This window comes from Homo sapiens, chromosome 15 (genome assembly GCF_000001405.40).
Source record: "Homo sapiens chromosome 15, GRCh38.p14 Primary Assembly".
Taxonomy (NCBI): domain Eukaryota; kingdom Metazoa; phylum Chordata; class Mammalia; order Primates; family Hominidae; genus Homo; species Homo sapiens.
In genome coordinates, this window is record NC_000015.10 from 63191201 (window position 1) to 63207822 (window position 16622).

The following is a 16622-nucleotide window of genomic DNA, read 5'->3' on the forward strand; positions in this document are numbered from 1 at the left end:
CACCATGAATTTCTGGGTTGGGAAATAATAGAGAGCTAGTGCTTTGGTAATACGTGTGTTTAAATATTTGTGTATTTTTAAGGATAATTTATCTTTTTTTAAAAAAAGAGTATTTGGTATAGAACACTCTTTAAGTATTAGTAAAGGCTATGGTTTGTTTGCTCATTCTGGATTCTTTCATATAGATTGAATGGTCTAAAATCTCCTGGGTGTTATGATGTCTGGGCTTAGGGAAGTTTGAATTGCAAGTTCTTGGCAGTCAGTCTTGAGTGGGACTTTTTCTTTTCTGAAAAAGCAGATTTTAAATGTCATCTCTCAAGTATATTCCTAAGATTTGGTGGTAGCTGCTGGTACAGCAACTAAAGGGTGTTAATTTTTGACATTTGTATTAATTTCAAAGCCTCAAATAACAATTTTTCATTGTTGAATGCATACTGCAGTACAGATGGTAAAGGATAATTTCTAACAAGTTGAGTGGGTGTCCTTTTGTCCATTCTGTATTTGAGCCTCCCAGAAGTATCTCCTGCCTTGAAAGTAAGTGAATCTCGCTGATGCTGTTTTTGTTAAGCTTCTTGGACGACTTGCTTGTTTGTAATAGTTTTATTCGTTTTCTCTTTTTCCCTTAATTTTTGTCCCATGTTTCCTGTAAGGGTATCTGGTTCCTTTTAAAATAGTAGCTTTTAAAAATTACTTTTCATTTTGAAGGGTTCAAGTCTATCAGTGGATTTCAAAAAATGATGGAAATGAGGTTCTTTGGAGGGTGACAGCTATGAAGGCATGAAAACCAGTGTCCTGAAACAGATTAGAATAGGAAGTGAACATGAAAAGGAGGTGAATCTCATGTGACATCTTGGTCTTTATATTTTCTGTGAGGTGGATGTGGTAAAAAGAGGTGTGAGCTGTGTCTTCAGTTGACGTGGAGGAGGGGAAATCCCATACCTCTTATTTAGCCCCAGAGCTCCAACAGGAAGTGGTAGCACACTGCCTTCAAACTGCAGAATTTATATACACACTGCCTTCAAACTGCAGAATTATATAGAAACCTAATGCTCTGCAGTCAAAATTAAGCTGGGAAAATAAGGTGAATGTTAGCACCATTCTGGTTCCACAGACTCTTCACTGATTACAAGTATAGATTTTGAGTGTTGACATCTCTAGCAGCCACTCCCTCCATGCCCCTCACCTCATTCCCAGGTGATCTGAAGTTACTGAGGTGACAGCCCATCTCCTCCCTAGTCATGAAGTACCTAAGTGTGTAAGTTCCTGTGCTTTTCTGACTGGGTTTTGATGAAGTCTGCCATAGCATTGCTGACAGCACTTGATAAGCTCTGTGTCATACGGAAAAGATGTATTTCTCAACGCCTGGGGTTTGTGTGTATGTGTTTTGGTAGATATGTATGGGTGTCTGTTTCTTCCCATGAAGATACATTTTAAGTCTTAATTTTGCTTTGTCAAAGTTTTAGTAGTTTTAAAAATGGTAATCTGCCATCTTTCGACACTGTTTTGATAGGGGTTCTGTCATCACGAAGGGAAGGAGACAGTCATTTTGATTCCAGATACAGTTGTCTCAGAGATACTTTCTTCTTCTCACTTCTCTAAGGTCTTGCTATTGGCTGGGTGTGGTGGCTCAAGCTTGTAACCCCAGCACTTTGGGAGACTGAGGTGGGAGGATCACTTGAAGCCAGGAGTTCAAGACCAGCCTGGGAAACATAGCGAGACTCTGTCTCTACAAAAATACAAAAATTCACCAAACGGTGTATGCCTGTATTCCTAGCTACTTGGGAGGCTGAGGCAGGAAGATCACTTGAGGCCAGGAGTTTGACACCAGTCTGGGCAACATAGCAAGACCCCATCTCTACAAAAAGTAAATTAAAAAATTAGCCAGGTGGAGTGGTGCACACCTTTAGTACTAGCTACTTGGGAGGCTGAGGCAGGAGGATAACGTGAGCCCAGGAGTTCAAGGTTATTACAGTAAGCTATGATTGCACCACTGCTCTCCAGCCTGGGAGACAGAGCAAGATTCTGTCTCTAAAAAATAGATAAGTAAATAAATAAGGTTTTGCTATCTTCTCTGATATCTCAGGTCCCTTCATTTCCTTTTTGCTCTTTGAGGGGTGTTGGAAGGTAGATTTTCTTGTATCTGACTTTTTGAAGATCTTCTAGTATATCTGTCAATAGTTTAGTTAACTGTGAGGAAAGGATGTTTTATCCATTTGAAATTATTGGTCAAGTGCCTAGGACCAACTCGCCTTTCACTCCAAATGTTTGAAAATTGAATTTTTTTTATTGGCTCTAAAAACCCTTATGTAATCATAATTAACATTTAATTGGCCAAGCGCAGTGGCTCATGCCTGTAATCTCAGCACTTTGGGAGGCCAAGGCAGGCGGATCACAAGGTCAGGAGATTGAGACCATCCCGGCTAATACGGTGAACCCCGTCTCTACTAAAAAATACAAAAAATTAGCCGGGGGTGGCAGCGGGCACCTGTAGTCCCAGCTACTTGGGAGGCTGAGGCAGGAGAATGGCGTGAACCTGGGAGGCCGAGCTTGCAGTGAGCTGAGATCGCGCCACTGCATTCCAGCCTGGGCGACAGAGCAAGACTCCATCTCAAAAAACAACAACAACAACAACATCAAAAACATTTAATTAAGTGCCTGTAAAATGTAACATAAAGACAACTAGGAATGATGATACAGTTAGCTATAGATTATATTTCCTCTGGGAAATGGATGCATTTTAATATTGATATGAGGGCATACCGACGTCTTGAAATGGCTCTGGACAGAAAAAGGTGCTGGTTTAACAAAAAGAGATAACCCAGCCCTGTCCTCTTGACAGGACAATCAGAGCTTCTTCCCTTTGCCGTCTCTCTGCTGCCCTGCCCCCTTCTTCCTGTTAGGTATTTCCTGAGTGGTTTCACTATTTAGTATAGTCATAGTTTAACAGCAGAAAGAGTCTTAGATATTATCTACTTTATTCCTGTCCCAATTTTATAAATAAAAAAAAAATGAAGGTTTAATTGACACCCTCAAAATTACACAGCTGATTATAGCAGATCCTGTAGTGAAACCCCAGATCCAAGTCTATGTCACTTTTCACAACTGAGTTGCTACTATTCCTAATCAGTATGATTATCCCCATTAATTCAAGTCATCACCTTTTCCAGGGAAGAATTAGAGTTTGCACATACGCCTTTATGTGAGGAAAGTTAAGACATTTCTGTTTTGATTAGCCGAGTCTGTTCAGGTGAATAGCAAATGTTACTACAATGACTCTGAGTTCTGTTGGAGTTTATACTGGAATAACTCAGCGCATAGCTGTCCTTTGCCCTTTCTGTGTCTATAGTTTCACATTAGGAGATCAAAGTGTATCCTATCATTAAAATTTCTTCCATACGTAAAGTAACTAATGAAATCATATTAATGGGGGTATGTTAGTAATTGTTGTAGCTTAGTCTCATCAGAGTACTTTTAGACATTTTATTCTGTAACACTGGATATTTTTCTTGGGTTCACTTTCCTTAAAATCAGGGGTTAGCACACTATAGCCTATGGGCCAAGTGTGACCTGCAGCCTGTTTTTGTGTAGCTCACAGGCTAAGAATGGTTTTTATATTTTAAAGGTTATTAAAAAATAAAGCAATATGCAAAAGAGACCATATGTATCCCACAAAGCTTAAAAATATTTACTAACTGGTTCTTTGTAGAAAGTTTGCTGACCGTTACTTAAAATTAAAAACTATTTTTGGTTGGTAGCATTTCAAAGCTTTTATCAAGACTTATTGACTGAAAAACAAACTTTGTCATATTTACATTTTTATCCAAGATGACATCAACATTTGGCTGAGCATAATCCAGATACGTAGAGCAAGTTGATTTTCATTTTCATAGTTGTTTTCCTTGGTTTCAACTTCTCAAACAAAAATATGCAAGGAACATGCAAGTTCATATTGAACATTTTGTACATAAAGCCTTATTTTAATGTCATTGTGTTCTTTCAAAGCTGCCAGTAGATTTCCCATCTAAGCAATAGCATTGATAACGACTCTGGTTCAGAAAAAGTAGAATTTAATACTTGATCATAAAGGATTAAACTCATCTCTTCAATCAATGTTCTAGTGAATGAAAAAAGCCTTCCTACATATAAAGGATGGGCATGGGGAAACTGAGTCTTGGGTACAAATATGGATCTGTCTGAAGAATGTGTACTTTAATGAAGAGCTTCACCAGCTGTTCTGCAGGCAGCAAGTCAGGGAGGAGGTTCTCTTGGCAACAGCAGCGAGATTGTTTGGATCCACTGAGAAAAGCTGGAGGGAAATAGGTTTAGATATTGTTTTAGAGGTAAATAAGTCTAGTCTTTGAGGACAAAGAAAAATTTAGCAGTATATTTTTGAATTGAATCCAATAACTGAATCTGAAAAGAACCATAGATCCTGAAGTGGATGAGCAGGGAGCTGCTGGCCTCAGGCCAGCTCGAGTCTAGGTCTGCCTGTCTTCACCCAGCTCTGGACATCAGCTCTCCTGTGGGTGTTAGAACTGTTACTTGAGAATATTTTGCAGGAATAGAGTTTTCATAGCATGAGAAGAGGGTTGGGGGTGAGGATGGGGAAGTAGATTTTAGGTGGCGAGTAATGTGGAGTATGATATCACTAAGCTTCAGAAATGCAAGTAGCCACGGAAATGTAAAAAGGGAAATTCAAGGTAAGATTGTAGATTCTTACTACCTAGGTTAGGGGTTGCAAACTCACATGGTTCTGGTGGGAACTATGAGTAAGGGGAGTGGACCCAGAATGGGAAGCAGCAGGGTGTGATGTGGACCCTGGATTGTATGTATTCCCTCTCTTAGGGCGTGGCTGCTTTTTATTTGCAGCTTTACCATTGCCATGCTGGAAAATCATCACATATTTCAAGATTTGCTGAAAATTTCTCATAAAAACTCAACTTTATGGGCAATTAATAAAAACAAACAAAAAACAATGTGAGGGCCATTACAATAAGGGCCAAACAGACATGTCTGTGGGCTAGATGAGGCCTGTGAGCTACCAGCTTGCAAAGCAGGCATGGCCATCAAGGATGTATGGTGGTTACAGTACTTTAAAATAGATCCTTTATCAGAGCTGGTATTGACATGAAAAAGCCTTAAATTATTTTCATTTTCCAGGCAGATGAGGTGGACTAGTATGTTTGGCATTATGGAGATAGCATGTTGAATTAAGAGCAATGGGCATCTGCCGTTCTAGCTTTGTGGGCTTTGGGGAGTCAGTTATCCTTCTAGGGCCTTAGTTCCTTATAACAGAGTGTAAGAATACTGTGTCTACCTTTCAGAGTTGCTGTGAGCTCCTTAAGGCAAAAATCAAGTCATATTCGCCTTTTAAATCTCCAAGGCCTGTATTAAATGTCTGCACATTGGATGAATGAACGGATGAAGGGATGAATTGTGAAAGCCCTATATGAGCTGTAAAGCATAGCTTGAATTTGTTACTATTCTCTTTCACAGTATTATAGATGATTAGATGATATTTGAGTTAAGATAAAAAGTGTTTAATTTGGACTCTTAACACAGGAATGTTACTTCCCCCAGTATAAAATGCTACATATCTTTCTATAATCAGTTTGAAAGGTTTGTTTTAGAATATCAAAGATATTTTACTTATCTTTCAGTCTCCATAATAAGCTGTTTTAACACCCAGCTTCCAACCCCCCACTAACATAAATACCAAATAGAAAATGAGTGAAATCACTGGGTTTGCATTATAAGAGCCATTTCAGCTTTGTCTCTGCCCATTAGCTTCAAACAATGCAACAGATGCCTGTTAACAGTTTCATGCCCATTTTTAATTAGCAGATGGAGCTGTGTTTGTGTCTGTGTTCTGCCCAGCACTCATTTGAGTGACAGGGTAGTGAGTGGATTAGACCTGGACTGAGCGTTTGGGTTGAATAAGGCCAAATTCTATTTAAAAAAAATATTTATATAAATATTTTTATATAGAGCCCTTGTGTATCTCACTGGAATAGCATATGTCTATAGTACTGATGTTTATGGTTATGTTTTATTCTCATCTTACAGAAAAAAATGATCATTTTATAGTTTAAATAAAGGGTTTTCTTTAGTCTTGAAACTGTCTTGAAGTGGCTTTCTTTTTTTTTTTCTTTCTTTCTTTCTTTCTTTTCTTTTTTTTTTTTTTTTTTTTTAAGACAGAGTCTTGTTCTTTCGCCCAGGCTGGAATGTGTTGGTGCAATCTCGGCTTGCTGCAACCTCCGCCTCCTGGTCTCAAGCAGTTCTCCTGCCTCAGCCTCTGGAGTAGCTGGGACCCCGGGTGCACACTACCATACCTGGTTAATTTTTGTATTTTTTACAGAGAGAAGGTTTCGCTGTGTTGTCCAGGCTGGTCTCAAACTCCTGAGCTCAAGTAATCTGTCTGCCTCGGCCTCCCAAAGTGTTAGCATTACAGTGAGCCACCACACCTGGCTGAAATGGCTTTCTTTAAAGACCCATTTCAATATGTTGGCATAGTATGTTGAGGAATATGCAAAGCTGGGATGAAAAATGTCAATCCTGATGGATTGGTAGTGGCTGCCAGGAATGCTGTGTTCTGTTGAGTTCTGAGGTCCTGTCTGAGCTCAGCAAGGCTGAGGGCTGTGATGGATTCCTAATGTCTGCCATGGACAGTAGGGAAAGAGAGGGAGGGCGGCAACTTCCTACACATTTGCTGTTTTCTAAAATGAATAGGTAGCTATTTGCTGTCCAACATGTTATGGCTAAATTTCAATATTAGTAATATTATTAGTAAATAATTATTAGATATAGTATGTCTGGAGAGGTGCCCTTTTCCTATGTTCAGTTTTGTGTTTTGGGATTTTTCTTATTTCAAGTTGAATTAATAAGAACCTGAAAGGAGGTAGGTACCTGGTTGTCCTTAGAGGAAGAAATAAATCTGCTTTTCAAAAAAAGTTACTTAGTTGCTTGGGACTTCCTTTGGGAGGCCGCATAAAGTGGTGGAAACAGTTTGGGAACAGTTCTCTACAGCAGCTCAATTAGCTGTGATGAAAGTATTTTCTTGCTGTCCTACTTGTAGCATTTAGCATTAGTTTAACTAGGCACTTTGGTATTTACCTGTTTACTGCAACTTTGGACATTTTCCTGGGAGCTCTCATCTTCCTCAGCCCAGAAGTTTAATTCTTGACTCTCAGGGAAAATGCTAACACTCTGCTTGTTATCATGTTCATCGTATTTAGGCTGGCTACCACTGAGAAAGCCTGGATAATGGTGGTACTTGTGGTCTCATGACAGCATTGCAGGATTTCAAAGCACTTTGCAAAAGCTCAGTTAGGTATAGAATCCCACTTCATTATGATAAAAACCATCTGCAGAGCTGTTAAGCAACGTGTAGTATTGCACGGCCTTCTGCTGGCAAAGCTAGGACTGGCGTGGCTTCCCATATCACATTATAATTTTGCATATTTTGGTGAAGAACTTGGCGGTAATTATTTTAATAAATCATAGATGTTATCCTGATGTATAAAGTGGAAGGACAACTCTGAAGATATATGGTCAAGTTTTAATGTGAAGTATTGGATAATCTATTAAAAGTTGAATTGTAAATTCGTTTCTTATGCAATATTTGTTTATCTGGAATGGATATTGCAGCATACTCTAATCTCCTTATGCACACATACATACGAATACACAAAATCCATTACAAAAAAAAGAGTTTGTGTTGGGAGATGTCAGTGACTAACCCTTCTGTAATTTGTTTATTGCTTATGAATTTGGATGTGATAGTTTTTTATGGTTTTCAACAAGGAATCGTTTACTTTTTCTCTTCTAAATATCTCTGAGTAAAATCTTGATACAGCATGGAAAACAATTCTTTATTGAGAGTCAACTGTTCCCCTTTTGGAATGACTCCAACCACTTTCTTGTTTCACTGTCTGTTAGCACCTCACCCATACCAAGATTTAGAGAGAGGGGATTGGGTTGGGAAGAGAAAAATGAAAACATTTCCCTTCCCCTATCTCTTTGGCTACTTGGTTCAGTCTCTTTTTGCTTTTGTTAGCAATTGGAGTAAACTATTGGATAAAGAGTTAGAAATGTCTCTGTAAAATAGTTTGAGAATTAATAGTGACCTTTGACTTCGATTTTTCTCTTACATTGTTTAGAACTAGATAATTTTTAAAAAATTGGTGCCTCTCTCTGCCATAGCCAGTAATGAACACAGACCAGGGTGTTGTCCACAAACAAATTTGAGTTGTTGCATTCCCTATTTTGTCTACATCATTTTGAAAATTTCCAACCTTATAGAAGGATGAAAAATTTGTGGGAAAAGTGAAATAATTTCTTTAACATGCACAAAATTCCATTATAATTAAGTTGAAAAACATGCATATATAAATATATATAATATCATCAGAGTTATGTCTTTATTTTGGCCCTTCAGCGTTCAACTTTGGGTTTTTTTTGTTTGTTTTTTGTTTCTTTGTGGGCTTTTTTTGAGACTTTGTCATCAGTCTGGAATTAGTGGCCTCCTGTGCACTACCACGCCCAGCCAATTTTTGTATTTTTTGTAGAAACTTGGCTTCACCTGTTGCCCAGGTTGGTCTTGAATCCTGAGCTCAAGTGATCTGCCCGCCTCAACCTCCCAAAGTGCTAGGATTACAGGTGTGAGCCACTGCCCCCGGCCAGCCTTCAACTTTGATAAGCACTATTACATTTTACATTTATGTTGTGATCTTATTATATGATTTACCGTTTTTTGTTCAAGTTATCTCTTAATTCTTATTTTAAAAAGTACGTAGGGCTGTGACAAACAATTGGTTTGTGTTTTGAATTATTCATGGCACAAACCCCTCCTGAAAACATCAGACTAGACTTTTCTGATCATGAAGGGTGAGTGCAGGCCTCGATGGTCTTCAGGTCTCTTCTGGCTGCAGCATTCTGTGAGTCTGTGAAATCAAACAGTGTCTATAAAAGGGTTTGTCCTTTTCTTTCTTCAGTTAATGATTGTGGATGAGGATTCTTTGCACTGGTAGACACTAGTGTTTTGATGACATGAAGACAGAAGAAGAAGTAGCATTAGTTAATTCAAACAAGCCTGTATTGATCTTGTAAATTGGCTAAAATCTTTGTTGTACTAAAGAGATTGCTTAATGTTTTTGAATCCTATTCTTTAAAATGTTTTGGTTTGAGTAATAAAGCTAAATATCACCAGAAAGATAACTTATTGAAAATTGTAAAAGTATTTCTTTGAGAAGAAATGTATAAAGTATTTTCAAATAGTCTCATTTACTTCCTGTAAAACATGGTGAGGCTAGGTGCAGTGGCTCACGCATGCAATCCCAGCACTTTGGGAGGCCAAGGAGGGAGTATCCCTTGTACCCAGGAGTTCAAGACCAGCCTAGGCAACATAGTGAGACACTCAACACCACAAAAAGAAAAAGCATGACAAGACAAAAAAAAAAAAAACCTCATGGTGAGATAGGTGAAAAATAGTCTAAAATAATAGGAAGCCCTTTGCTGGTGCTAAATTTCCATTTGACAGATGGTGGGCCTGAGGCCTAGAGGCATCGGGGTTGCCCAAGGTCACACAAAGCCTGACATTGAGCATTTGTTTTTTAATTTCAAATCTATTTTCTCTTACACCCCATCTGCCTTCATTTCTCTTGCTATGAAAAGACACTGATGGTTTGGCATACAGTCTGGGCGTAGTCAACATTTTGTGGGAGAAAAGGAAGGAATTAGACTAGGAGATCTGGGATGCAAGTATATATTCGGCCCTTGATTAGCCTTTTGCTTTGGGGTTAAAAGGGAGTGGCTGGGGGTGGGTGAGGTTTTAACTAGATTTCCAAGAACCTCTTTCCTCCTTGCTTTTGAAGTTGGGGGTGGGGGTACTATATTGGTTTGTCAGTCAGCTACTCATGCCAAACATTAGGTCATTATCACTTTCACTAAATTCACTCATTCAACACTTTTTGGTCTGCAAAATTTTGAAACGGGAAAGAGTTAATGAATACCCAGGCAATTTTAACACAATGATGAAAAAGGCTACAAAGGAGTAAATCTCCGTGTTATGAAAGTGTGCAGAGGAGAGGTCGAGGAAGGGCTCTAGGAGGGAATTATATCTCAGCTCAGATTGGACCCCAAAGGAGGAGTTAGTTGGGTAGAATGGAAGAGAGTAAGGAAGGGAGGCTCTCTGGGCAGAGCCACTCCTGCCCTCCAGAGAGATAGCATAGCCCTTGAAGGAGGAACTTGAAGACATCTTGTTTGGCTGAAGCCTCAGGTAAGTGGGGGATGTGACAAGAGGTGAAGTTGGGTCATTAGAGGGCAGAAGAGCTTCTAACCTTATTCAAGAGTCTGGACTTTATCCTAGAGCAGTAGGGAGCCACTGTAGGATCATATATGGGGAGGCCAATTAGGACGTTAAGAAACAACATCATTTGCCCATTCCCTTCACTTGGACCTTTGCCGTTTACAAAGTACTTTCACTTATGTTATTACTTTATGTAAACTACTCAATAATCATATAAGGTAGAAGGAGATAGATATCTCCTTGTTGTAGACAAGGAATCTAAAGTTCTGAGAGGGTAGTTGACTGATTAATCAAGTAAGAAGCTAGAGGGGCCAACACGTGAGCCTCGCACTTCAGTTCTGGACTGTACTCTAGCTGCAACAACCTCTTCCTCTCAAAACAGGTGCTGGAGTTTTCCACAGGACTCTGTGTGTTGGGCACTTACCCATAGGACCAGCCCCTTTCAGTGGTCTATAATAACTATTGGCCGGGCGCGGTGGCTCACACCTGTAATCCCAGCACTTTGGGAGGCCGAGGCGGGCGGATCCACAAGGTCAGGAGATCGAGACCATCCTGGCTAACACGGTGAAACCCCGTCTCTACTAAAAAAAAAAAAAAAAAAAAAAAAAAAAAATACAAAAAATTAGCTGGGCGTGGTGGCAGGCACCTGTAGTCCCAGCTACTTGGGAGGCTGAGGGAGGAGAATGGCGTGAACCCGGGAGGCAGAGCTTGCAGTGAGCCGAGATCGCGCCACTGCACTCCAGCCAGGGCGACAGAGCGAGACTCCGTCTCAAAAAGAAAAAAGAAAAAAAAGAACTATTAAAACTGACCAACAAACCCTTGAAAAGTATGTTGAGTGGGAAGATGAAATCAACCTCTCCTTGGACAAGCCTGAGTAATAGCTAATGCAAACATGCATCAAGTTCCCTCTTGGCCCCCAGAGGTCAGTGGACTTGTGGTTTGGGTCTCCCGGTTTCTAACTCAGGCCCTTAGGAAGCAATCAAATATGTGTGCAGCAGAATGGGAACAGGAGGGGACAGAGTTTAATTATGAATCTGACTCTTTCGTGAAAAGGAAACTAATTGTATCAGAAATCTCAGTGTTGTCTGTCCACATGGGGACTGTTGGTTTGTTATGCTTGTATGCTGTTGGCCTTAGACTACTAAGTGCTAGGAACAGCTACCTTAATTGTGAGCTTCCTTCCTTTGGCAATTTAAGTTTAAACTTCATGTCAGCCTGTCCTTTTATTTGAAGGTGAAATTGTGTCTATTCTAGCTTTTGTTTGTAAAAACCTTGTTTGGCAAAGTTTTCCTCGCAGACACAGTAGCATTGTAAACTAGATGAACACCTGATTTGTTTAAGTCTCCATAATGCCTCTGTGATCCAGAAAGCAGAGAAACCCGAGCAACTCAGCTTTTTATATAACGAAGTCCACTTGCTAAAACGCATGAGCTTGCCTCATAGGGAAGTCTCTGAGCCCTCTCTTAGCCTTTATAGTCTTGATTTATGCAGTGGTCATTGGTTTCTCTATGGCCCAAAAAGATTAGGAGCAGGGCTGAGGGCCTCTTGGAGGCAGGCCACCAACATCGGAGAGGAAAAATTGGCAGTGTGGGACTATGGAAGACATTCATTATGTGACTTCAGACATGTCAACAGTAAACTTCCTGGGCTTTTATTTCTTCGTGTATGAAAAGGAAATGTTGTCCTAGATACACTGTAAAGTCTCTGTCCAAACTCTGATCCTAAGTTATAACCAATGGACTTACTGACAAAATGGAAAAAGTAGACATAAGAACTCAAAATAATGGTGTAGCTAAAAGAACTTGGGCTTTTGAGATAGAAACTCCAAAGTTCAAATTCCTGTTTGAAAGCCTTGGGCAAATTATTCAGTCATTTTCTTTATTATAAGAAGGATAGAAACTCCCTTGTAGGACTTTTATTTTTTGAGAATTGAATGCTGTTACTGTGTGTATGATGTGTTTGTCACATGGAAAGCACACACAAAAAGTGTGTAAATGCATATGAATGAAATCAGCCCCTAGTTCACTGAGGGTAGGTCCAGACAGCTGTAAGAACCTTGGTAATCTTTGGGGGCTTCATTGTTACAGCACTTGATTTTAATAAGAGCTAACATTTATTGAGTGCTTACTGTATACCAAATTCTAGGCATTAACATTATTCATGGATTGACCCGTTTAATTCTTGCAACGCGTCTTAGTTGTGTTCCGTTATCCCTATTTTCCAAATGAGGTAATTGAGGCACAGAATGTTTGAATAACCTTTCAAGGTCATATAGCTAGTAAACGGCAGTCTAGTTCCAGAATCCATTTTTAAACCCCATGTTTTTTTTCAATCCCAACAGTGACTCAGAAGTATTTTTTCTGATTCATTATCTTCAGGGAGGTGGTATGGTGCAGGGTGAACTGCGGGTGTCACTCCTTACCAGCTGGGTGACCTCAATGAGGTTTTTAACCTGCGTGGTCCCTTAGTTCCTCTTCTCTGCAGAGGGTTGTCGGGGGGTGGTTGAATGAAGTGCTGTGGTAAAGCATTAATGAAGCACAGGGCCTATCACGCAGTCAGGCTCAGTATAAGGTGAGGTGTTTTTTTTTTAATCCAGGTAACATAAGAAGCACCTGTTAGCATGAGTTCCATACAAAATATGAGCGGGAGCATTCATTTTGGTTACTTAAAGGAATGTATGTCTGTTTTCTAGAAAATTACTTCTTAATAAAATTTAGGACTACGTGCATTTTACAAAGCTAGAATTGGAAATATTTGTCTTTAAATTCATCCCCAGAGTGATGGTGATTATCCCCTACATCAGCGGGTGTAAGGAGGCATTGAAAAATCAGCCCTTGACCTCGGGTGCAGCATGTTAGTGTAATATCAGGAGCAAGTTCTTCCAGTTGCTGCAGACTCTCAGGGCATCTTGAATTCCTACTTTGGGTGAAAACATAAACAAAAAACAGCGTAGAACACCCTGTCTAGAAGGGACAAATGTTTCCATTTAAATATTCTAGTTCAATACCCTCTGTTAGGGCCCTGAATTTTAAGTACAGTGAGTTTCTGAGTGAAATCTCCTGAATTTTAATGAGTTTGTTTGCATACATGAATTCGAACAATACATTAAATCTTAAAACATGGTAGCTGATTTTAATGGAGTAAATTACCCAACTTGAAAGTTAGTGAATAGGTTTTTCTTTCCCTAATAATCAAGATGCTGCTTCCATCTCAAAAAAGTCATTAATCATACTTTTACAGTATCAATACATGCTGTTAGTTTCTTTTTCATCTTTAAACTGTCTCAAGAGATTTAGGAAAAGAAATGTGCATAAGTGAGCATAAAGTGTGATTTCCTCCATTTAACACTTTTTCTTATACAAGGATGAGGGCTGGGTGCAGTGGCACATGCCTATAATCCAAGCACTTTGGGAGGCCGAGGCAGGAGGCTTGCTTGAGCTCAGGAGTTAGAGACCAGCCTAGGCAGCATAGGGAGACCTCATCTCTACAAAAAAAAAAATAAGAAAATTGGCTGGGTATGGTGGCTCATGCCTGTATTCCCAGCACTTTGGGAGGCCGAGGCAGGCGGATCACCTGAGATCAGGAGTTTGAGACCAGCCTGGTCAACATGGTGAAACCCCGTCTCTACAAAAATACAAAAAAAGTTAGCAGGGCATGATGGTGGGCACCTGTAATCCCAGCTACTTGGGAGGCTGAGGCGGGAGAATCGCTTGAACCCAGGAGATGGAAGTTGCAGTGAGCCGAGATTGCGCCATTGCACTCCAGCCTGGGTGACAGAGTGAGACTCCATCTGTAAGTAAATAAATAAACAAATAAATAAATAAAAATAAATACAATTTAAAAATTAGCCAGGTGTGATCATGCGCCTGTAGTCCCAGCTATTCAGGAGGCTGAAGTGAGAGGATTACTTGAGCCCAGGAGGTTGAGGCTACAGTGAGCTATGATGGCACCATTGTACTCCAGCCTGGGCAACAAAGTGAGACCCTGTATCAAAAAACAAACAAAAAAAATACTCACACACACACGGGATGATATGTGGTAGGGACAAGGGCATGAAGGGCCTCAAGGCAGTGTAAGGAGGATAGATTTTATTCTGACCATAGTTATGTTCAGGGAAGTGACACATTTTATTTCTTTGCTCTGAAAACGTGTCAGGTTCATAAGAAGTGACACATTTGATTTATAATTTTAAAAGCAGTTTTAAGAGAGTTCATTTTGAAGTTTAATGGCACTGAAAAACCATGCCGTGAAACTCTCAGGTCCAGTCTGTTCCCTAAAATTTTGATGTACCCAGAAAAGCATATTGTAAAAAATGTTCAGATGGTAAGAGTTTTACTTTCTAATAAAGCATACAGATTTGTGATGGGGAGTTCAGTTCATGGGCAGTAAAAGCAGTGAAATGTGCCTCCATGGTGGAAGAGCAGGAGCTTTCAGGGCCTGTCATATCCAATTGGAAGCTCCTGGAGGACAGGAACTGTAACTGGCCTCTTCAGAGCTCTTTTATCTGGTGCTTAGGCACACAGTATCTGTTTGTGGAATAAATGAACTAACACCATGTATTTCCTTCTGAGGAATGACTCTTGGGTCCCTGCAGTAGTGATATCTCTTTTATTAGCACATACATACGTTTCAAAGGATGTGTAATTATCACCTATTATTGCCTATGGTCTTTTTCTAGATGTGAGAGCAATAAAATCAGCCCATTTCTTTTTTTACCCAGAGTATTTATCTATAGTAATAAATGCCTGCTAACTTCATTTATGCCGCACATAAATATGTACAGTTCCTGGGGCAGAGAAGGCCCTGAGTAAATGTTTTTTTTTAATGACTGTGCAGTTGATAGCCCATAGCAATCTCCTTAAGTCCCAGCTGTTGGTGTCTCACTGAAATCATAGCAGAAGACTCCCCTCTCCCCCTCATTTTCCTGAAAAGATCCCCTACTCCCTAACAAGTGCTTCCCCAGCATCCTTTCTTATCATCTCTAATTTCTGGATATTTTCACCTTTCCTTGTTTCTTTCGCCCTTCTCTCCAAGGAGCCAGTGCTAACCTGTTGGTTGGTATGCTTGATGTAATAATACCTTCCCACTCTCCTGGGACCTGGCCCTGGCAGTCATTCCCCTCCTCTCCTCCGTCATCTGTCTTCTCTGTCTAGTTCTCTGCTTGCCCTTTCTGCTCTACTTTCAACCCTATTGAAATCATCCTCATTCTACATAGGATATCCCATAAACTCGCTACTTTCTCAAGTCACCCATCTCCCCTTTCTCCTTCCTTGTTCCTTAATTTCTTGAAAGAGAGAAGTCTTGTCCCCCATCTCCTCACTCATTAACCCCTCAAAGTCCTGCTCTGCCCCCTTCAAAACTGCACTCAGGTCATCATGACCTCCTTGTTAACAACTGTCCAGTGGTCCTTTCTCAGTCTTTGTCATCCTTGGCCTCTCATCAGCATTTCACACTGTTTATTATCTGCTCCTTGAAACTCATTCCTCCTTTGGCTTCCAGGAATTGTCTGCTCCAGCATACTTCCTACTCTTCTAACCGCTCCTCCCCTTTCCATGGTAGTCTCATTTTGCCTTTTAATGGAAGTCACTTCCAAGTGTCTGTTCTCTAGGTTTTCCTTTTTTTCTCTTTTAGAAATTGGACACTTCAATAAAATTTGTAATTACGTCCATCTGTGTGATTATTGCATTGATGTCCATATCTCCTGCCAGATTGTAAACTCCGCGAGTGCACATATCAGATCCATTATGGTTCTCATCATATCCCTAGCTCCTAGCGCAGTGCGGGGCACGTATAAGTGCTCGAAAGCTCCCACGTGGTGATGGAGCTAAGCTTGCCCCCTTCCATGTGTGACTACCCAACTTTCTGTCTCCTCCTCTTCCCGGCCTCTCTCAGACTCCTCTGTGTGCATCCCACCCCACGGTCAGTTCATTTCCTCTTTTTATCTAGTACCCTTTCATGAATTGTCATATATTTTTTAACCCATATTTTTTTTCAGGTATTTAGGCTCAAAACCTGGAAGTCATCTTTGACTCTTTCCTTTTCCTTAGTTTTTTGTTTTTTTGTTTTTTTTTGGAGAAGGAATCTTGCTCTGTCACCAGGCTGGAGTGCAGTGGCGTGATCTCGGCTCACTGCAATCTCCGCCTCCTGGGTTCAAGCGATTCCCTTGCCTCAGCCTCTCGAGTAGCTGGGACTACAGGTGCGTGCCACCACACCCGGCAAATTTTCTTTTTTGGTATTTTAGTAGAGACGGGGTTTCACCATGTTGGCCAGGATGGTCTCGATCTCCTGACTTCATGATCTGCCCACCTCGGCCTTC

At 40.3% G+C, this 16622-nt stretch overlaps 1 protein-coding gene across 3 annotated transcripts in view, besides 2 other annotated features; it reads left to right on the top strand.

The window, feature by feature from the left end:
* Positions 1-16622, top strand: part of RAB8B (RAB8B, member RAS oncogene family) — a 78171-nt gene that overhangs the window by 1595 nt on the left and 59954 nt on the right. The gene's annotated exons all lie outside the window — the stretch shown is intronic.
* Positions 1067-1226: an enhancer, noted in NCBI's record as "active region_9528". NCBI's record gives its function as "activates an Ori minimal core promoter by ATAC-STARR-seq in GM12878 lymphoblastoid cells {active_cell/tissue: GM12878}" and the evidence as "EXISTENCE:reporter gene assay evidence [ECO:0000049][PMID:35858748]".
* Positions 2508-3008: an enhancer, noted in NCBI's record as "H3K4me1 hESC enhancer chr15:63485907-63486407 (GRCh37/hg19 assembly coordinates)". NCBI's record gives its function as "activates a minimal SCP1, AML or CMV promoter by ChIP-STARR-seq in naive H9 embryonic stem cells {active_cell/tissue: H9 hESC(naive)}" and the evidence as "EXISTENCE:reporter gene assay evidence [ECO:0000049][PMID:30033119]".